Source organism: Homo sapiens, chromosome 6 (assembly GCF_000001405.40).
Source record: "Homo sapiens chromosome 6, GRCh38.p14 Primary Assembly".
In the NCBI taxonomy this organism is placed as follows: Eukaryota; Metazoa; Chordata; class Mammalia; order Primates; family Hominidae; genus Homo; species Homo sapiens.
Genome location: NC_000006.12, coordinates 26,898,445 through 26,921,445, shown reverse-complemented (window position 1 = coordinate 26,921,445; position 23,001 = coordinate 26,898,445). Strand labels below are relative to the sequence as shown.

At 37.5% G+C, this 23,001-nt stretch overlaps 1 pseudogene across 1 annotated transcript in view, besides 1 other annotated feature; it reads left to right on the top strand.

Moving 5' to 3' along the window:
* Nucleotides 1–23,001, top strand: part of GUSBP2 (GUSB pseudogene 2) — an 85,068-nt pseudogene that overhangs the window by 35,109 nt on the left and 26,958 nt on the right. The gene's annotated exons all lie outside the window — the stretch shown is intronic.
* Nucleotides 12,344–12,954: an enhancer, noted in NCBI's record as "NANOG hESC enhancer chr6:26876271-26876881 (GRCh37/hg19 assembly coordinates)". NCBI's record gives its function as "activates a minimal SCP1, AML or CMV promoter by ChIP-STARR-seq in naive H9 embryonic stem cells {active_cell/tissue: H9 hESC(naive)}" and the evidence as "EXISTENCE:reporter gene assay evidence [ECO:0000049][PMID:30033119]".

Here is a 23,001-nt window from a genome sequence, read left to right as displayed (position 1 = left end):
ACTACCTATAAATTACTGTATGCCACATTTTGTAGAATGGTTTTCCATATTATTGTAGAATGTGGCACTTAAATAGTATCATGAAAAAAGTTTATTCAAGAAATAAGACATTAATGAAATATAATTAATATATAAAGACTATATTTAAAAATAATTATGTATTTCTAATCCTAAACTTTTTAAGGTGACATTATTTTTTTCTGTGATATAATTTCAGTTTAGAAGAACTTTAAATTTTAATAAGATTTTAAGATGATTCAGTAATGTTAACATACTTTTCTTCTGTAAATTTTGTTTGTTAACAATTTAGCTGCATTAATTAAATATGTATATAGCTAATTTTAATACTGATATTTTAATACAATTCTTAATTTTACTCCTGGCTTTCAATCATTCATATATGTTTTTAAAAATTGCTTTTTCCATTGCTTTACTTCTTAATTACTTTTATCAAAGTCTTAATTGTATGTGGTTGATTTTAAAAGTTAAATATTTCTATAAGATTTATAAAGACAAACTGGGTACAGTGACTCACACCTTTGGGAGGCCGAGGGGGGAGATCACTTGAGGTCAGGAGTTCGAGACCAGCCTGGCCAACATGGTGAAAGCAGTTTCTACTAAAAATACAAAGATATGCCTGGTGTGGTGGTTGGCCCCTGTAATTCCAGCCACTTGGGAGGCTGAGGCAGGAGAATTGCTTGAACCTTGGAAGCGGAGGTTGCAGTGAGCTGAAACCATGCCATTGCACTCCAGCCTGGGCAGCAAGAGCGAAACTCCATCACAAAAAAAATATATATATATACACATATATATATGTATATATATATACACACACACACACACACACACACACACACATATATATGTGTATATATATGTATGTATATGTGTGTGTATATATATACACACACTATATATATATGTGTGTGTGTGTATATATATATACACACACACACATATATATATACACACACACAATAGAAATGTCCTGGCTATATCTATATTAATAGGTTTTGCACATTTAAACCAAAGTCACACATATGGTTTGATTCTAATTAATTCTAATGCATCTTGCAGGTTACAGACTGTATTCTATTATGTAATTATCTGCTGATCCACTCTGTATCCTGTTGTGTAAGTTGCGATGATTAACCTCTGCCTTTATGATGTAATCCAAATGTAGCATATAGACCTCAATGATAAGATTGATCATGGTGCATTTAATCATTAATTTATTATTAATCTCTTTTATCCTGGTACTTAGAGTGCAGATTTTTCTCAACAAATATTTACATGATCATTAAATAAAATATAGCCTTGTGTCACTTAGCAATGAGGATATGTTCTGAGAAGTGTGTGGTTAGGTGATTTTCTTACTGTGCAAACTTCATAGAGTGATCAATCTATAATGGTGATAGAAATTTTTGAACCCTATTATAATCTTAATGAGCCATTGTTTTACATGCTGTCTCTTATTGATGTAAACGTTGTTATGTGGCACATGATTATATAAAAGATATTAATCCATTCATTATTTATGCATTCATCCATTTGACCTATGGTAGTGTTCTATTGAAAATGAGTCATCGTGATATAGAAATCCACTCGTAGTTGTTTTTACTTTCTCTGTTTCGTGGGGAAGAGTGGGTATTGATTTTAAAAGTCTAAAGAATGGGGTATTGTGAATAGTGCCGCAATAAACATACGTGTGCATGTGTCTTTATAGCAGCATGATTTATAATCCTTTGGGTATATACCCAATAATGGGATGGCTGGGTCAAATGGTATTTCTAGTTGTAGATCCCTGAGGAATCGCCACACTGACTTTGACAATGGTTGAACTAGTTTACAGTCCCACCAACAGTATAAAAGTGTTCCTATTTCTCCACATCCTCTCCAGCACCTGTTGTTTCCTGACTTTTTAATGATTGCCATTGTAACTGGTGTGAGATGGTATCTCATTGTGGTTTTGATTTGCATTTCTCTGATGGCCAGTGATGGTGAGCATTTTTTCATGTGTTTTTTGGCTGCATAAATGTCTTCTTTTGGGAAGTGTCTGTTCATGTCCTTCGCCCACTTTTTGATGGGGTTGTTTGTTTTTTTCTTGTAAATTTGTTTGAGTTCATTGTAGATTCTGGATATTAGCCCTTTGTCAGATGAGTAGGTTGCGAAAATTTTCTCCCATTCTGTAGGTTGCCTGTTCACTGTGATGGTAGTTTCTTTTGCTGTGCAGAAGCTCTTTAGTTTAATTAGATCCCATTTGTCAATTTTGGCTTTTGTTGCCATTGCTTTTGGTGTTTTAGACATGAAGTCCTTGCCCATGCCTATGTCCTGAATGGTACTGCCTAGGTTTTCTTCTAGGGTTTTTATGGTTTTAGGTCTAACGTTTAAGTCTTTAATCCATCTTGGATTAATTTTTGTATAAGGTGTAAGGAAGGGATCCAGTTTCAGCTTTCTCCATATGGCTAGCCAGTTTTCCCAGCACCATTTATTAAATAGGGAATCCTTTCCCCATTGCTTATTTTTCTCAGGTTTGTCAAAGATGAGATAGTTGTAGATATGCGGCGTTATTTCTGAGGGCTCTGTTCTGTTCCATTGATCTATATCTCTGTTTTGGTACCAGTACCGTGCTGTTTTGGTTACTGTAGCCTTGTAGTATAGTTTGAAGTCAGGTAGCATGATGCCTCCAGCTCTGTTCTTTTGGCTTAGGATTGACTTGGCGATGCGGGCTCTTTTTTGGTTCCATACGAACTTTAAAGTAGTTATTTCCAATTCTGTGAAGAAAGTCATTGGTAGCTTGATGGGGATGGCATTGAATCTATAAATTACCTTGGGCAGCAAAGACTTGGAACCAATCCAGATGTCCAATAGTGATAGACTGGATTAAGAAAATGTGGCACATATACACCATGGAATACTATGCAGCCATAAAAAATGATGAGTTCATGTCCTTTGTAGGGACATGGATGAAATTGGAAATCATCATTCTCAGTAAACTATCAGAAGGACAAAAAACCAAACACCGGATGTTCTCACTCATAGGTGGGAATTGAACAGTGAGAACACATGGACACAGGAAGGGGAACATCACACTCTGGGGACTGTTATGGGGTCGGGGGAGGGGGAAGGGATAGCATTAGGAGATATACCTAATGCTAAATGAGGAGTTAATGGGTGCAGCACACCAGCATGGCACATGTATACATATGTAACTAACCTGTACATTGTGCACATGTACCCTAAAACTTAAAGTATAAAAAAAAAAGGGGGTATACACACAATCAGGTATCAAGCAGTGGCACCTCGTGCAAAATAATAAACTCATCTAAGATCCTAGCAGTTCATTCAGAAAATAAAGCTGGAAATATATCTTGGATATGTAAAATGTGATTGTAAAAATTAATGAAACTAAGCAATGGGAATATGAGTAGTAAATTATTTGAGAAAATATTATAACATTTACTTTTTTAAATTTCAAAACTATATTTCCTTATTTAAAACTGAAAATTTTTGTGTACATATATGAAACTAATTGTGTCCTTTTTTGTTTTGTTACAATATAGAGTGATGTTTCAAAACACAAACATAATAGGTAGAGTCAATGATTTAGGGGAGTTTAAACCTGGTGGTAACATTAGAAATAGAAATAATAAAATGCAGTGTTTTTGGATTTGTCTGTTAAGATTATTTTAATCCAAATCATATTTAATGGTTTACATAGTTGTATATCGAATTTGGTTTCACAAATAAATTATATAGTAAATTTTAAAAAATGCAAAAAATGTATATTAAGTTATACATTCTATAACCTATGAATCCATATAACTTGGGCAAGAAAATTATATAATTAAAAATAAAACCTTTCTGTTCTGAATTATGTTTTAGGGACAGCTATGTAGTTCACACTCACAAAGGAATCATAAAAACTCTATGTATAATCTTGGAAGTAAAAATATCTGTTGTATCATATTTATGAAGTATACAATTGATTAAAAATGATAATGTCTGTCTTCTATCCAATGGCAATAACAGAAGATAATGGCATATAAGTAGACCTGTCTCCTTTTTTTTGGCATTGATTTATATATCTTTACTAGCTTTGTTGTTTTAACTCCAATAAAAGATTATTTAGTAAGCCAAAGCAAAAAAAAAAAAATCCTGTGAGCAGCCACAAACTGAAAGACTACGATTTTCAGTCAATGTCCTAAGCAGCGCAGTAATTTTAGGTTAACCAATGTGTCAAAGAGAATGAGGAAAAATTATTACAAAAATGAATAAATAAATAAACTGGTCTAGGTCAAACCGTACTCCTTCTAAAGAGAGTAGTCAACTGATATTAAAGCCTATGACGTAGAATGTGCCATATTGAGTATGCAATATCAAAATATTTCTTCTTTTTCTTTCTCCAGCTACTGCAAACCCTAATTATTTCCTTATCTGATCACTTTAAAGTCATTCAACAAATCATAATTGTGCCATTGTTAACATCAGAAACTGAAAACCTACTGTCAAAAGTGAGCTAAAATATCACTATTTGGATTTATTTATAAATGTAATTTATTTTATAAAAAGATTGACTTTCAATTTGAGAATAACATAAAAAATCAATTCATTCCTCTGTGCATCAATATTGTATCATTGGTAGTTTAAACTTTTCATCTACTATTAGATTGCATGCAGGACTTTATATCTAATTACTCTGGCAGATGTCCTTTAGAAAATTCAAAAATAAAATGCAGCAATTCATATTGGCAGATTTACTATTGAGACCAATGCTTTCTTAACTAAAAGGTTTTGTTTAAAATCGTTAGTTTAGCAAATCTGATAAGGATTTTTGAATATCAGAGCATTTAAAAGAGATTCTTACTTTACATCTGGCATATTTCTTGTATTACATATTATAATTTCATTGAACATGGCTGTCTATAAAACTATATATATGATCCGGAAGAGACTCAAACTAAATTAAGTTTTAACAGCCATCAGTTTATTTTAAAATGACACAGGCATGAAAAATGATCTGTCAAGGTTTGTAAATCTTATTCTGTTAGCTATTGCTAGAGATAGTCTAAAGATATTCTACTTGGAATTTGAGATCAAGACAAAGATTTTCTATTAGTAATAATATTCAGATTATTTTTATTTTAATGTATAAATTTAAAATTCTTAGAATATTTTCAACAATATTTTCCATTTCTAAATTTATTTTATTTCTAAACAAATGTAATTACTTTATTTATTAACTTTTATTTTCAGTTCAGGGGTATATGTGCAGGTTTGTTATATAGGTTAAACCTATAGGTAAATAGGTATACAGGTTATTTTGTCACCCAGGCATTAAGCCTATGCGCATTAGTGAAAAATGTTATTGCTTTAAATATCCAAATTATTCAGCTGCATTTGATCTCATTCTTTAGTCCAATGTAAATAAGAGTAAAACAATGACATTTAAGGCCACCAGGCTATTCTCATTTTCGGAAAAATGCTGGATTACATTACCAGCATATTAAATGAGAATATCAAGGTGTAATATCTCCCTAGAAATTGTCTCACCTTCAATACTGTTGACATTTTTGGACCTGATAATTTTGTTGTGGGCTCTAGCCTCGTATTATAGGAGGTTTACCGGTTTTCCTGCCCTAAACTTACCGGATGTGAATAGCACACTCCACTACCTACAGCAGTAAAAACTAAAATGTCTCTAAACATTGACAAATTGTCCCTGGTAGTGAAAATCACCCCTGGTTGAGACCGTGTTGTTGAAAATAAAACAAAAACTTTCACATCAATAAATATGTTAGGCTGTGTATGTTAAGGATTAACATTAAGACAATATGGAGCAAGCACTACATGAAAGCCGTGACGATTGGGAATTAGTGGCACATTATCCTAATAGTTAATATAGTGACTGTAATATCTAAATATCATCATATAGAGTTTTTCTTAGATTTTTTCATGAGTATAACTTAGGATGTTGTGTATGTTAGTTACACTGTATATACTGTTATTTTGAGAGACAATTTTGGGAGATTTTGCCAAGGTATTTTCAATTATAGGTCTTTAATACATTCTAAGCAAGTGGGTCTCAAAAATGGGAATTTTACACCCCACATTCTTCTTACCATCTGGTGGACATTTGTCAATGTGTACAGATATTTCTGATTAAAAAAAAAAAACTGTGAAAGAGAGGGTGTGCTACTGGCATCTGGTGGTCGAGGCTAGGGATGTTGCTAATCATCTTACAATATACACGATAGTTCCCCACAATGACTTTGAGAAACCCTGCTCTGACACTACTGCAGGATGAATTTTAAGCACAATTATAAGAGAGGACCTAGATATTGAGTTTTAAAAGGAGAAAATATAAGTACAAAAGAAGAATGAAGATTGTTATAACGGGCAAGTAGAAGTTAGAAGAAAATGTGATAAAGTAAATCTACATTTTAGAATAGTACTGGAAGTTATTATCAGGTGTTACAGACAAGTTTGAGACTTCCGTAAGTGACCTAAAGAAATTATGGACACTGCAAGACTAAATAATCATTCATTTAGGAAGGAGCTTAAAAGCACTTTCTCAAGGCCGGGCGAGGTGGCTCACGCCTGTAATCCCAGCACTTTGGGAGGCCAAGGTGGGCAGATCACGAGGTCAGGTGATCGAGACCATCGTGGGTAACACGGTGAAACCCCGTCTCTACTAAAAAATACAAAAAAATTTAGCCGGGCACGGTGGCGGGCGCCTGTAGTCCCATCTACTCGGGAGGCTGAGGCAGGAGAATGGCGTGAACCCAGGAGGCGGAGTTTGCAGTAAGCCGAGATCCCGCCACTGCACTCCAGCCTGGGTGACTGAGTGAGACTCTGTCTCAAAAAAAAAAAACTTTCTCAAGCATGCTAAGTCACAAAATTTGAGTTATCCTGAGCTTTTTTTTACTTTAAGCTATCAAGCCATTGTTTGGAATCTTCAGAACCTCTTTAGAGTTTGGGATTTAAGAGTCAGTAGGTAGATAGTGAGCTTAAGATGCCAAACACAACATTTAAAGCTATAAAAATCCATATGACCTTGAAAGATTAAATGGAAGCCCAGCACAAAACAATTGCTGAGTATATTATTTACATTATCTGAAAGTATGCCAAACAGACACTTTATATGTTAATAAAGATATGAGAAAGAAAATTCCAAAGAGTTTCTAAAAAGTGAACAACCACAAAATTTCAATAGCTTGCAACAAACATTTTCTTCTTCTCACTCATGTTACCTGATGGAAAATCAAATGGCTGCCTGGAGACAGCATGGAGGCAGAGACTGATTACTGAGGTGCACAAGAAAACTTTTCATAATGATGGTTGTGAGTGTAGTGATATTTCCAAAAGTATATATATATATATATATATATATACACACACACACACACACACACACACACACACACATATATATACACATATATATATATCTCAAATTTGACCACATCACACATTTCAAGTATACTGAATTGACTGTGCATCTCTTATTATACCCCAGGAAAGTTGAAGATATGACAATGAAAAAAAAATTCTTCCACCGACTGCCCATCAATTTTCTTCTCATTAGCCTCACAGATTTCACAGTTAATTAAAGGGAAGATGCAAATATGTTCAAACTGTACATATTCTGAGGCCCATACCTTGCCATTAGCTCGATAAAGAGAGACATTGTCCCTGGCATGAAAATGAAAAACTCGCACACTCCCTGTGTGGCTTCTGGACACTCTAAGACATGAACACACTTTGGGGGCTCACCCTGTCAGGCTTTGCTCTTAGAGCTTAGATGAGAAAAACACAAAAATAAAACCAAAAGGTGACATTTAGATGCCCATCAAGGAAGATGTGTTGGGAACTGGACAGGTCAGGGCTTTAAGTACTGTATCTTACTGTATGTTTAAGTACCGTATGTTACTGTAGAAACTTACCCATTTTCCCCTCAGAACAACTCTGTCTCAGGAGGTGAGTCTGAGAGCTACTGTTTCTTTGTAAAGGTTTTATCTGATCAGGCCCACGGTCACCACGTCAGCCCCACTGCCCCTAAATAGTTTGAATCTTGATGTTTTGATTTCAAAGACTTCTGATTCTAGCTACATAGCTTTGTCCATTTCCCACCTTACCACTATTTACTTTGAATTTTGTTGCATGCCGAGACCAGTGACTGCCACAAATGTGACTGTTCCTAGAATCTGCTTTCTGCTCTGATCTTTAGTCAGTGTGCAGACTCTAACATAAACTCCTTTCTGTCGTATTTTCTTGAGTCCAAGAGCCCATAGATTGTATAATGCACTATTTTATGTCCCGTTAAGCAAGTAATTCGCATTGTGGCTAATTAAACTAAGACATACCACTGAATTGTAAAATGCATTATATTTTCAGGAGATATTAAAATATGAAATGTATGGGTCTTGGAATAGATGAATTGTGACAGTATCTTTGGAAAGCTAATTCAGTTGCAGCATTGCTTAAGATGTCTTTAAGAGCTGACTTCCTTTAGTTGGAATACATATGTAAATTATTTGCAGAGGAGATTTACCTCTCTTATCTCATTCATTTGTTTATTCAATCATTTATTGATATCAGTATGGACTAAGGAAAATTACATTTTTGGGTATAATCCAAATATAATACCAATTAATTTATTGTGTTGCTAAAATTATTCTAGAAATTGAAAGACCTTTCACTTGGCCCCTGTGCTTGTTTGACATATCTCCCAAATAGATTTTTGTTAGTATTTTCATAATTTCTGGCACTAGAGGATGTCCCAGGCTCATCTTGTGTATTTTCTTCCCCGTTCTTAGAATCAGCCACTTTCAAAGACGCCCTGCTTTCTATATATGAAATCAATATTTAAGTGCTAGCTGTGCTTGTAGCTAAGGGAGTATCAGTTTTTTCATAGCTCTCTAAGATGAGAGAGCAAAGAAACAATGTGTATATTCTTACACATATATAGACACATATCTTTAAATATTTCTATATGTAAACATCTATATTAGTCCATTATCCCATTGTTATAAAGAACTACCTGATACTAGGTAATTTATGAAGAAAAGAGCTTTAATTGCCTCACAGTTCCACAGGCTGTACAGGAAGCAAGGATGGGGAAGCCTCAGAAAACGTACAGTCATAGCAGAAGGCAAAGAGGAAGCAGGCACATCTTACATGGCTGGAGAAGGAGGAAGAGAAGTAAGGGGGAGATGCTACACACTTTTAAACAGCCAGATTGTGCGAGAACTAACTCATTATCACAAGAACAGCAAGGAGGAAATCTGCCCCCATAATCCAGTCCCCTCCCACTAGACCCCTCCTTCAACACTGGCGATTACAATTGGACAAGAGGTTTGAGAGGGGACAAAATGTAAACCATATCACCATCTATGTCTATATTAAGCTAAACATGGGTTCTTACTGATGTCACTACCTCTAACCTAGTCCCGCAAGCATCAATGCCTTCCTGTATCTCTAAACCCCCACTCCAACAATAAAAATCCTGACTCTTACTTTGTGACATCTATTTAGTTAATTGTTCACTTCCAGTATATGTATATAGCTGTAGCAGACTTGCTAACCTGCCCTTAGTAGAAGAACATCTTTATCAACTAAATTAAATGCCTTCGTACAAGTTTCTTTTGCCTTTCATCTTAAGAGACTGCACTCATTTTCAGTATCACTTTGACTAGCACCCTTTCCCTTAAGTCCCTCACTGAAGTTATTTTGTATGGTTCATAATAGAACTAGATAAATTTGTAACAGTCTGCATTCCATCCTGAGATTCTACAACCTTTTAATTAATTTTTTATTAAAAATATAACTTTTATTTTGTTAAATATTAGCACTTCTGTGCCACACTACTATATATAAATATCAAGAAAAGGTCCAGAAAGCTATAGAAAATTTAAGTAAAGTGCTGAATGTTGAACCTAACAATAACTGGGCTAAAGTAAGTACAGAAGGCAATTTTTTATTTATGTAAATTTATGGGATACAAATATAATTTTGTTACCTCCATAAAGTACATAGTGTTGAAGTAAGGGTTTTAGAATATACATCACCTGAAAAATGTACATTGTAGTCATCACATAATTTCTCATCATCCCCTCCTCCCACCCTCCTGAAATTTCCAAGTCTCTGTTGTCTATCATTCCACATTCTATGTCCATGTGTATACATTATTTAGCTTCCAGTTATAAGTGAGAACATGCAGTATTTGTCTTTCTGTGTCTGATTTGTTTCACTTAAAATAATGACCAGTTACATCCATGTTGTTACAAAAGACATGATTTTACTCTTTTGTATAGCTGAATAGTATTCTATAGCGCATATATGCCAGATTTATTAATCTGATCATCCACTGAGGGACACATCGCTATTGTGAATAGTGCTGTGATAAACATATGGGTGCAGATACCTTTTTCATATAATTATCTGTTCTCCTTTGGGTAGATCTCCAGTAGTGGGATTGTTGGTTGAAACTGCGGTTTTATTAAGAATGTATATTCTGTAGTTGCTGGGTAGAATTTTCTGTAAATGTCAGTTAGGTCTATTTCATCTAAGGTTGAATTTAAGTCTTATGTTTATTTGTTTTCTGTCTTGATGATAACATTTAATGCTGTGAGTGCGATGGTAAAGTCCCCCAGTATTATCGTATTGCTGTCTATTCCTTTTTTATGTCTAGTAATATTTATTTTATGAATCTTGGTGGTCTAGTGTTGGATGCATGTGTGTTTAGAATTGTTATATCCTCTTGCTGAATTGATCCCTTTATCATTACGTAATGACCTCCTTTGTCATTGTTATACTGTTTTAGATTTAAGTTCTGTTTTACTTGATATAAGTATAGCTATTCCTGCTTGCTTTTAGTCTCCATTACATGGAGTATCTTTTTTCACCCATTTACTTTAAATCTGTATGTGTCTTTACTTTTCAGTCTGTATGTGTCTATATGTTTCTTGTAAGCATAATATTTTTGGATCATTTTTTAGTTCGTTCCATCAATCTACCTTTCTTTTTTTTTTTTTTTATTTTTAGATGGAGTTTCACTCTGTCATCCAGATTGGAGTGCAGTGGCGCAATCTTGGCTCACTGCAAACTCCGTCTTGCAGGTTCAAGCGATTCTCCTGCTTCAGCCTCCCAAGTAGATGGGATTACAGGTGCCGGCCACCACGCCTGGCTAATTTTTGTATTTTTAATGGAGATAGGGTTTCACTATGTTGGCCAGGCTGGCCTCGAACTCCTGACCTCGTGATCCACCCACCTCGGCCTCCCAAAGTGCTGGGATTACAAGTGTGAGCAACTGCACCTGGCCCAACATCAATCTATATATTTTAAGTGGAATGTTTAATTCATTTACATTCAAGGTTAATATGAATACATGAGGTTTTCTTTCTGCCATATTGCTATTTGTTTTCTACTTGTTTTATAAGTTCTTTGGGGTTATTTTGTTGTTGTTTTTTGTTTTTCTTTCTGTCTGTCTCTTTGTCTTTGTGGTTTGGTGGAAATCTGTTGTGTTGCTATTTGATTTCTCTTCCTACTTTGTGTGACTGTTTTACAAGACCTATGAGTTTGCTACTTTCATGTGTTTTGACGATGATGAATGTTGACCTTTCATTTTGTGTTTGGGACACCTTTGAGTATTTCTCATAGGACTCGTTTAGTGGTGACGAATTCCCTCAGTGTGTGCTTGTCTGGAAAATACTTTGAATCATTTCAAGAAAATTAGCAATGAGTTATGTCAATCAAGCCATTGGTTTGTATTTGGTGACACATTTACTCTGTATTATTTCACACTAGAACCATCTGAGTTAAGTTTTATTATTTGCTATATGTTGCAGATGAAGAAACTGAAGCTGAGAGAGGTTTAGTGAATGACTAAAGAGGTTGTCAGGCTGCAGGGAAAAAAAAAATAAAACTGTATGACTAGCCTGCAATGCTTCCCAAAGTATGCAGCTTATTATAATTGGTCACTTTTTGAGTACAAAACGCTGTGCTATGTAACAAAATAATACAATGTACATATGTATAAAAGTTAACATATACGTATCAATAAACATAAGCATAACTGTAATCACATATACTGATAAATAAAAATACAAAGTAATATATGGTAATGACCCAACCATTTGCCTAAGTTTCATGTATTACAGAAGTTTTGAGGAGGGACTTCAGCTGTATGCAAATCAGCAATTCGGTTTGTACAGCTGATTACCCATTAGTTCAGAATTTTAATAATTTAAAATGTGTTTATTAAGAACCTAACAATTGGAAGACCTTACAATAGGTGGGAAAATTCGACAGATGAATAATGCTTAGGAGATATCAGCATGTTTTGGAAGGATATTCCCATGAAGAGAAAAAGTATTGTGGGAAGTGTGGGAAGTGTTATGGTGTGAGAGTAATATAGGTTCCAGCATGTGTTTACATTATTTTGTTGGAGGTGTTGGGGAACCTTTCGTGGAAGGTGTGTGGTAGACTGTGTGGACAGGTTTCCTCAACCTTCGTTCCACTCTTTGAAGAGGTTAGAAAATTAAAACAAAACAAAACAAGCAATGCAGCTTCCCTTGAGCCAGCTTTATGAATGCAGCTTAGACCACTTACCCATTGTTTGCATATGAATCAGACTTAGAAAAATGGAAGAGATCAAAGCCTGTCTTGCTATTGTTGATTCTGGCAAGTGAAATCATGGAGACAGTAGTTCAGAAGTAGTGGAAGTGGTAGGATTCAATATCCTTGTGCCTAATCCCCAGTTTCATGGGCCTAAGAAGCTTAAAGTTTTAATAGTAGGAGCATCTTTTTGACCCAGGATTGCAGAAATGATTGCGTGCCTTTGAATTCAATAACTCAAAACCTTCCTCCATGCCACAGTGACTTTAGTTATTTTAGCTCTTCCTATTGTATATGTATGAAATGCACTTTCTGCTTAAGATACCTATTGCGGTTTTTATTTCCTTATTAAAACCTTGGAAAAATATAGCACTTAAATTATGTTTTGTAGAAATTCACTAAGCAAATAAAGCTAAAGGGGGAGAGAGTTAACCTTCTCTGCCCCCTTTTTATCAGAAGTCAGTTGTAGAAGAAATACACAATTTTTACACAATTTTAGCACCATCTAAGTTTTGTAGGTCTGGAACACAGAGTGGTTAGATGAGCATTTCAGGAGCACTATAGTTGCAAAGTTAAGCAGTCACCACAATTTTATGTGTCATACAAAGATTTTTAACTTTATGTTTAAGCAACGAGCCTAGAAGCAAATGGTATTTCCATCAAGAATTGTCTCATATAAAGTAGAGCGTTTTGGAAAATGAAGTTATTAATAGATAAAAACATGTTTATACAGTTGGTTTCTAAGTATGACAAACCTATTTCTTGGTAAATTGCAAGTCCATTCCACCTGTGTTTATAGGCTCATTTGCCTAAAAATCTTGGGATTTTTTTCTGATGATCTATTAAATTTTCTTTCTGATTATCTTTTCTAATGCTGTAATAGCGTTTCTAACACTGTAATGAAAGAGAACAAAAGTACACGCTTGCTCATCATTTACTAATTCTAAAAATATATATTGAATACATCTATGTAGCAGGTACTGTGGTAGGTGTGGAAGATAGTTGAGACAGGTAACAAGCCCAACATTACGGAGCTTAGCATCACCACATAGAAGAGTTTTTAAAAAACATAGATAAGTGAATAATGATTATAAAGACAAAGAGATTCTTGCCATATAATTACATATAAGCAAATTTAGGATGTGATGAAAGATTTTGATATTGGTCTTCTGATTTGGCTGTAGGATGAAGTGTTTATAAGTCATCCCAAGGAAGAAACAATTCAGATGAGAACTATTCAATGGATTTGCAATAACAATCCAAAGATGGAAGAAAACACTTCTAGGTAGACAAAATTGCAAGTATAGAGAATCTAAATTAAGAGAGAGCTTAGCTTTCAGATGAATTAAAAGATTGTGGTGATCAGAATGTAGAGATTGACGAGAGACAAATGAAATAAAACTAGAAGGACAAGTAGAGGTTTGTGGGTCAAGTTTTTAAATTTTATTATAAATGCACTGATACTGTTCTGAACATTTTCTTATGCATGGAAATTTAATGATTATGGCTATTGAAAAATGTAACTAACTCTTCATTTATATTTTTCCGAGAATGAAATGGGTGGAATTGCTGGGGGGTGAAAATGTCCAATGCGAAACAGGAGGCTAATTTAAGAAGATACTGCAAAATTGGTCATGATGGCTCAAACTGCTGTTCATAATAGAGAGAAGAAAATGGATAGAGTTACATATGGATGAGAGTAAATCGACAAGGCTAAATGCTAAAATGTGGGTAGTGACAGAAAGTAGGTGTCAAAATAGACTTCCAGGAAAAGAAAAAATGGGTCTACAAAAGAGCCAAATTCTGATCTGGGTTACATGATCCTGAGCAGATGCAGATGTAATTGGTTAAGTAAAGTAAGTTCTTAAGATAGATTTGGCCTGGCGCTATACATTCTAGAGCCCCTGAAGATAAGTGGGATATAAAACCATGGGAATGACTGTATTTGTCTAAGGAGAGAATTTGGCAGAAGAAAAGGAGACATAAGATGAAATGCAGAGGAAATTCACATTTAATTGGCAGGTGTAGGAAGACAAGGAGATGACAAAGGGAACTGGAAATGAGTAATCAGAGACAGAAAAGTAAAAGTAAGAGTAGAATGTCATGGAAGGCAAATAATTGGAATGTTTCAAGAACAGGGAAATGGGCAATAAAGAGAAGAAAAAAATAGTGACCAGAGGGTATAGTAATGTGTAGAAATTCATCCTGCGTTAGGTTTGATTGCTTAGACGTTTTATATAAAAATCTTTCCCAGAGAGTAATAAAACAGAAGTGAGGTGAGAGAAAGAACATACGATTTAGCCAAAAGGTGGGAAAAGTTAGGAAATGAAGAATAAATATGTTTAAAGATAATGTTATGGCTACTCAATGTACAACCTCTTTTCTTTCGTTATTTTTAATTGTCATATTTAAAAATAGTAATTACCACTTTTAAAAATTGTCTTATTATTTGTTACATAAGAAAATGCATTAATTCAAGCCACATAGTATCATTTATATTATGACTGTCGAAACATTACTAGAATTACTGGAACTATTAACCTAATGGCCTGAAAATTTCAACTCACTTCCCTAGCTGTCCTGATGATCATTAGTGAAAGGAAAGACTCCATTAAATAATGCTTACTTATAGAGAACTGGTTATATCTGTCTCATTTCCATACATATATCTATATAAATTAATTTGATAAATAAAACAAACACAAGGCACAAACAACAAAACACAATTTATAAATGTCATTGAAAAATGCATGCCTCTACAATTTGGGTATTTGTAATTGTAAATTGATATACTTCATTTTTTATCCAGGAGTTACTTAGATTGAAACTTTACCTAAGGTATGATAAAATAATATGTGATTAAATTTAAAAACATGATGAATTTATTTAAAATTGGCTTCAATAATGTCAGAAAGTTAATAAAATAAAACGATTCCTTCAAAGACTGCACCTGTTTATTGCCTGAGATTCTCTCTCTTGGCCACAAGTCAATATTACTTTCTTTCATTCATCAGTGATAAAGCTTTTCAATAATTCTAATTTTAAAGGATGATTACAGCAAGTATATAGTCATTGATTGCTTAAAGGTTGCAGCTAAAATGAACACAATGGTAATTTTATTTTTAATAAATGAGCCCTTTTGAAAAGTCAAGCATTTTTCCTCTCACAAAACTTTGTGTAATAAGGTTATAGATTTGATCATGTATGAGTTTACACTGTGTGTGTGTACATATGTGTGTGATTTCAGCGATAAAGTTCACTGTTCCACAGCTGGCAATTTCTTCGGCTTAATTGAAAATTCCGTTTTAAAATATTTCTTTAAAGTTCTAAAATGGGTTTAAATGGGTTCATGAGCTGTAATACTATTAAAAATATATATATATCTACATATTTGTTGATCCTCCTCAGTTTAAGAAGTGGAGCTTCATACTCCTCCCCTTGAAGGCAGGCTAAGCTGAGTGACTCCCATCTAAGAAATAAAACACCACAGGATTGGAATGTTACCTTCTGAGACAAGGTCACAAAGGCTAGGGTTTTAATTTTGAGTGAACTAATTTGCTCCTTACTGGTGTTTCTCTCTCTTTCTCTCCTTCAACTCTTTACGAGCCCAGCCACCATGCAAATAATTCCAAAGTATCTTTTCTAGAAAGCTCACATGAAGAACCGAGGCATCCTATCTGATATCCAGCCAAATGATTAAACATTCTAGAAGCAGACTATGATGCACTGAATTTGTGAAATCCTAACCCCCAATGTAATGATAGTAGGAGGTGGAGCTTTTGGTAGATGATAGTCTGTCTTCATGTTGGGGATTAGTGCCTTGATTATTATTTCTTATTTTTATTTTTATTTTTATTTATTTATTTATTTTTGAGACAGAGTCTTGCTCTGTTACCCAGGCTGGAGTGCAGTGGCGCCATGTCAGCTCACTGCAACGTCTGCCTCCTGGGTTCAAGTGTTTCTTCTGCCTCAGCCTCCTGAGTAGCTGAGTAGCTGAGACTACAGGTACGCACCACCACACCTGGCTAATTTTTGTATTTTTAGTAGAGACGGGGTTTCACCATACTGGCCAGGCTGGTCTGGACCTCCTGACCTCGTGATCTGCCTGCCTCAGCCTCCCAAAGTACTGGGATTACAGACGTGAGCCACCGTGCCCAGCCGGGGATTAGTGCCCTTATAAAAGAGACCCCAGAAAGCGTCCTTGCCCCTTCTGCCATGTGAGCTAGAGGACAGTAATCTATGAACTAAAAAATGGGCTCTGACCAGACACCAAATCTGCAAGCACCTTGATTTTGCACCATCCAGCCTCCGGTACCATTAGAAACATTTCTGTTGTTTATAAGCTACCCTGTCTATGGTATTCTGTAGCGACAGTGCAAACAAACTAAGACATGGACCTTCCAACACAAGTTAAAGGCTTCAGGGGATGCTGCCTGGGTCAACAACATGACAGCAACCTTTACTCATGAGAGACTTCGAGTCAGAACCACCTACCCAAATCCATCATTTCCCTGACTTCTATAAATTGTGTCATACGTATTTGTTATTTTAAGCCATTAAGTTTTAGGGTAATTTTTAAATGGAAAAATACATGATCATAGGTAAAACTATAATTAATAGAAAAATCTAATGGCAATAATATTTACCATTGATTGACCGTAAAAACTCCATTAATTATTTGCTTTCCGTTTATATTTATTTTGGGATTTCTTTTTTGAGAGAATGGCACCTGTGACAGCATACTGTTAATATTACCCTTGTATCGTACTTTACCATGCCATCTCTGAAGAATATTACAGACCATTTTGGAGCATGGTGAATAACAAATTTTTACTTTAGGAGTTCACTTGAATAGTCATTTTTATATTTGTGACTGCAAGTCACTTTTAGGGGCTGTACTTCGTTAGTACTGGTAGCATTATTATCCAATGGACTTTTATAGCTTTCATTAGGTTTTCTTTTGTTTTTGTTCTTTAAAGAACATTTTACTCAACTTAGTATTTCATTTTTCATCTATATTATGAGGCAGTAAGAGTCTTCTGTTTTTCCAAAGTTGAGACTGCTTTATATTTATTTGATATTGTCTACGGCTGTGGTGTTCAATACATTAGCCACTAGCCACATGTGGTTATTTAAATAAGATAAAATAAAAATTGGCCAGGCGTGGTGGCTCACGCCTGTAATCCCAGCACTTTGGGAGGCCGAGGCGGGCAGATCATGAGGTCAGGAGATCGAGACCATCCTTACTAAGACGGTGAAACCCCATCTCTACTAAAAATACAAAAAATTAGCCGGGCGTGGTGGCGGGCGCCTGCAGTCCCAGCTACTCAGGAGGCTGAGGCAGGAGAATGGCGTGAACCTGGGAGGCAGAGTTTGCAGTGAGCCGAGATGGCGCCACTGCACTCCAGCCTGGGGGACAGAGCGAGACTCCATCTCAAAAAAAAAAAAAAAAAATTATTAAGTTCTTTAGTTGCACTAGCCATATTTCAAATACTTGATGGATACATGTGGCTAGTGGCTAACATAATGGATAGCACAGATATAAAACATTTCCTCGTCATATAAAGTTCTATTGGATAGTGCTGGTCTGTAGCTTATAGGATGGTATCTTAGTCTGCTTCAGCTGCTAAAACAGAATACCATAAATTAGGTAGCTTAAACAGTAGATATTTTGACCAGGCGTGGTGGCTTATGCCTGTATTCCTAACACTTTGGGAGGCCGAGGCAGGTGGATAACTTGAGCTCAAGAGTTTGAGACTAGCCTGGGCAGCATGGCAAAACCTTGTCTCTACAGAAATTAGCTGGGCATGGTGGTGCACGCCTGTAGTCTGAGCTACTTGGGAGGCTGAGGTGGGAGAATTGCTTGAACCTGGGAGGCGGAGGTTGCAGTGAGCCATGATCGCACCACTGTACTCCAGCCTGGATGACAGAATGAGACTCTGTCTCAAAAAACAAAACAAAACAAAAAAAAAAAACAAAAAAAAAAAAAACGAGATATTTCTCACAGTTCTGGAGGCTGGAAGTGCAAGATCAAAGTGTTGGCAAATTACGTTTCTTAAAGAGGGCCTGCTTCCTAGATTGGAAATGGCCATCTTCTCTCAGTATCCTCACATGGTAGGGAGAAAAGCAGCTCTAGTGTCTCTTCTTATAAAGGAAGTAATGCCACCATAGGGGCTCTATTCTAATGACCTCATCTAAACCTAATTCTCTCCTAAAGGCCACGCCTCCCAATATCCTCACCTTGGGGGTTAGGGCTTTATCATATGAATTTTTTTTTTTTTTTTTTTTTTTTGAGACAGAGTCTCGCTCTGTCTGTCACCCAGGCTGGAGTGCAGTGGCACAATCTCGGCTCTCTACAAGCTCCGCCTCCTGGGTTCACGCCATTCTCCTGCGTCAGCCTCCTGAGTAGCTGGGACTAAAGCGCCCGCCACTGCGCCCGGCTAATTTTTTGTATTTTTAGTAGAGACGGGGTTTTACCATGTTAGCCAGGATGATCTCGATCTCCTGACCTCGTGATCCACCCGCCTCGGCCTCCCAAAGTGCTGGGATTATAGGCATGAGCCACCGCGCCCGGCCTATCATATGAATTTTGAGGGAACACAAACATGCAGTCTGTAGCAGATGGTAATAGGCTGATATATTACACTTGTTGATGTAAATCTGATAGGTTTCTTTCTCTCCAAGGGCAGCTTTTTAAATATTTAACAATACCAATAATTTTTCAGGTTCTGTGAGAATTTTATAATTTATAATTTGCAAACTTAAAATAATCTATAATCTTATTTTGTCCTAACAATTACAAATATATTTTTTATTTCAGATTATATATATTCCTACCAGATGGAGATAATTACAGCTTTAAAAATTTTTATTTTTTCATTTTATTTCACATATTGACATTAAATTTTTATTGGCACATAATAATTGTACATATATACGGGGTACAATGTGATGTTTTAATACACGTACTCAATGTGTAATGATCCAATCAGGGTAATTTGCATAATGATTTTTCTGTAGGGAGAAAATTCAAAATCTACTCTTCTGGCTATTTTCAAATATATGATACGTTATTGTTAACTATACTCATCCTACTATGCAATAGGACACCAGAACTTATTCCTGGGTTCTACATCTGTTTATTAAGCCAACCAAGGATTGGAAATATTGGAAAAAGAAATTGCGTCTGTACTGAACATGTACAGACTTTTTTCTTCTCCTTATTCCTTACACAATATAGTACAATAACTATTTGCATGACATTTACATCGGATATTATGAGTGATCTAGAGTTGATATGAAGTATATGGGAGGATGTGCAAAGGTGATGTGCAAATACTATGTCATTTTATATCAGGGACTTGAGTATCCTTTGTTATCCTCAGGAGATCCTGAAACTAGTCCCCCATGGATACTGAGGGCTGACTGTATAGTCCTATCCTCACGGAACTTTCATTCTAATGAGGGAAGACTGACTATAAACAAAATATACGTAATAGGTGGTGGTAAGTACCGTGGAGAAGTAACAAATGGGGCAAAGTGAGTTATACAGCTCCATTCTTAGAAACCTTGGAGTACTTTTCTTAGTTTATACTCGTGGTGGTTTCCTTTTGTCTCCTTTATTACATGGGACTCTGACATGTGCCCATAGCTAGGGTGGCAGTAGGATCTACCCGATAGTAGGGTGGCAGTAGGATCTACCCGAAAAGCATCCTGCTGATACAGGACCAAAGCATCCTGTTGTTCTCGAGCCTATAAAAAGAGCTAATGGTCTTGCTTCTCTTAACTGTGGCCTCCTACACTGTGTTTTGGATGATTGGTGATGTCTTGGATATTCTGTTTCTTTGGAACTTTGAATATACAACACTTTACTAGGGAAGTAGCAATGGAAGCAGAGCAAAGATGTACAGAGGAAACAATGCATAACTCTGATGGAATTGAAGTCATGAGGCAGCAGAAAGCTTAAATTGCAGCTTTAAAAATTTTTATTTTTTAGAGGGAATTTAATTGGGAGTAACAGCAGTAATAGTTAACGGAGCCAGAATGCTTGAGTCATATAATTGCAAAGCAGAGTTGGGAGCAACAGATGCTAAAGAGTAGTTGCTGTAGTTCCTCTTTGGGTCGTAGGAGCAGTTGTCATATTACCATATAGCTACTGAATGAAGAAGAGTTCTTAGTGAGGCCTGGGTGAACAGCTCTTCTTAGTATTCTGTGTGACCCCATTTGACCTTTTAACAAATCTCTAAGTAAATAAATAGCCCCTAAGGTAAACTAAGTTTTTCTCTGCTATTTTTTTGCTTGAGAGAGCTATAACTGTAATAGACTTATATTTCTGAACATTTTAGTGCTTGCCAATATTTGGTAATATTTATGTTTCCTATATTTGTAATGAACATTCTTCTTCCAGTACATTTTTTGTTAAATTATTGTTTCATGCATAAAAGTTCACCTTTTATTGTATAAAATTGACTCAGATTAATTTATACACATTGACAATGGGTAAATAGAATTTTTCAGATTATTAAAAGCTGAAGGATGCCCATGTAAGCAAAAAAAAAAACAAAAAAAAACCCAACAAAAATAAACCCAAACCGCTCAAACAATTTCGAACACAAAACATTCTTCTCATGCCGGCATCCCTGCTTGCAGCTGGGAAGGGGGCAGGAATCAGCGAGGTGACCTGGGCTGAGTCCCGGGAGTGGGAAGAGGTGGCAGGAAAGGGATCTGAGGAGGAGAACAGGGGTCCTGGTGGTCTGTGCTTCTTCCCAGACACGGGAGCTGTAGAGGGGACCTCTGCAGCAGATGCTAGGGGGGCCACTAGGCCCAGGCAGTCTTGGGACTTGGGTCTGTCCTGCTGTGCATCCATAGTGGGTGCTTTAGAAACGGGAGGCCCACCAGAAGCCCCTGTTGCAAGTGAGGACAGTGTGGGAAGGCCGTGAGGGTCTGCAGTCCGAGATGGCCTTGTCCTCAACGTGCAGTGCACTGTTGATGCGGGGCCTAGAGGCCTGGGATCACGGGGAGCCACCCCTGGGGGTGAGTGTCTGCCCTGGTGCTGTATCTGCCGCCTTTTCACACCGGGTGTGACCCGAAGAGACAGCCTGAGGTCCGTCCTCACTCACTGTCTTTGAGGAACTGAGGGCCAGCTGGCAGCGGGATGAGGCTGACACCCTCCTCCGCTTTAGTTCCGGGAGGCCTTCCGTAGAGCTGTGGGAGCTCGAGCTGGCATTTCGTTTGCGGCACGATCTGGTCCGGGAGGTCTGGGATCTCTGGTTACATCTCACTTCTGACCTCTGGGCACCTACTGCAGCTGTGGCTGAGGCCCAGAAATGTGAAGGGCCTCCATCCACTGCCTTGAGTAGTGACCCCGACGTGGGGTTCAATGTGGAGGGGGGAGGGGCTGCCGCGGCAGCTGCAGGAGCCGACGTGCCAGGCCTTGTTCTTCTCATGCCGGCATCCATGCTTGCAGCTGTGAAGGGCGCAGGAATCAGCGAGGTGACCTGGGCTGAGTCCCGGGAGTGGGAAGAGGTGGCAGGAAAGGGATCTGAGGAGGAGAACAGGGGTCCTGGTGGTCTTTGTTTCTTCCCAGACACGGGAGCTGTAGAGGGGACCTCTGCAGCAGATGCTAGGGGGGGCCACTAGGCCCAGGCAGTCTTGGGACTTGGGTCTGTCCTGCTGTGCATCCATAGTGGGTGCTTTAGAAACGGGAGGCCCACCAGAAGCCCCTGTTGCAAGTGAGGACAGAGTGTGGGAAGGCCGTGAGGGTCTGCAGTCCGAGATGGCCTTGTCCTCAACATGCAGTGCACTGTTGATGCGGGGCCTAGAGGCCTGGGATCTGGGGGAGCCACTCCTGGGGGCGAGTGTCTGCCCTGGTGCTGTATCTGCCTTATTTTCACACCGGGTGTGACCCGAAGAGACAGCCTGAGGTCCATCCTCACTCACTGTCTTTGAGGAATTGAGGGCCAGCTGGCAGCAGGATGAGGCTGGCCCCCTCCTCCGCTTTAGTTCCGGGAGGCCTTCCATAGAACTGTGGGAGCTTGAGCTGGCCTTTCGTTTGCGGCACGATCTGGTCCGGGAGGTCTGGGATCTCTGGTTATATCTCACTTCTGACCTCTGGGCACCTGCTGCAGCTGTGGCTGAGGCCCAGAAATGTGAAGGGCCTCCATCCACTGCCTTGAGTAGTGACCCCGACGTGGGGTTCAATGTGGAGGGGGGAGGGGCTGCCGCGGCAGCTGCAGGAGCCGACGTGCCAGGCCTTGTTCTTCTCATGCCGGCATCCATGCTTGCAGCTGTGAAGGGCGCAGGAATCAGCGAGGTGACCTGGGCTGAGTCCCGGGAGTGGGAAGAGGTGGCAGGAAAGGGATCTGAGGAGGAGAACAGGGGTCC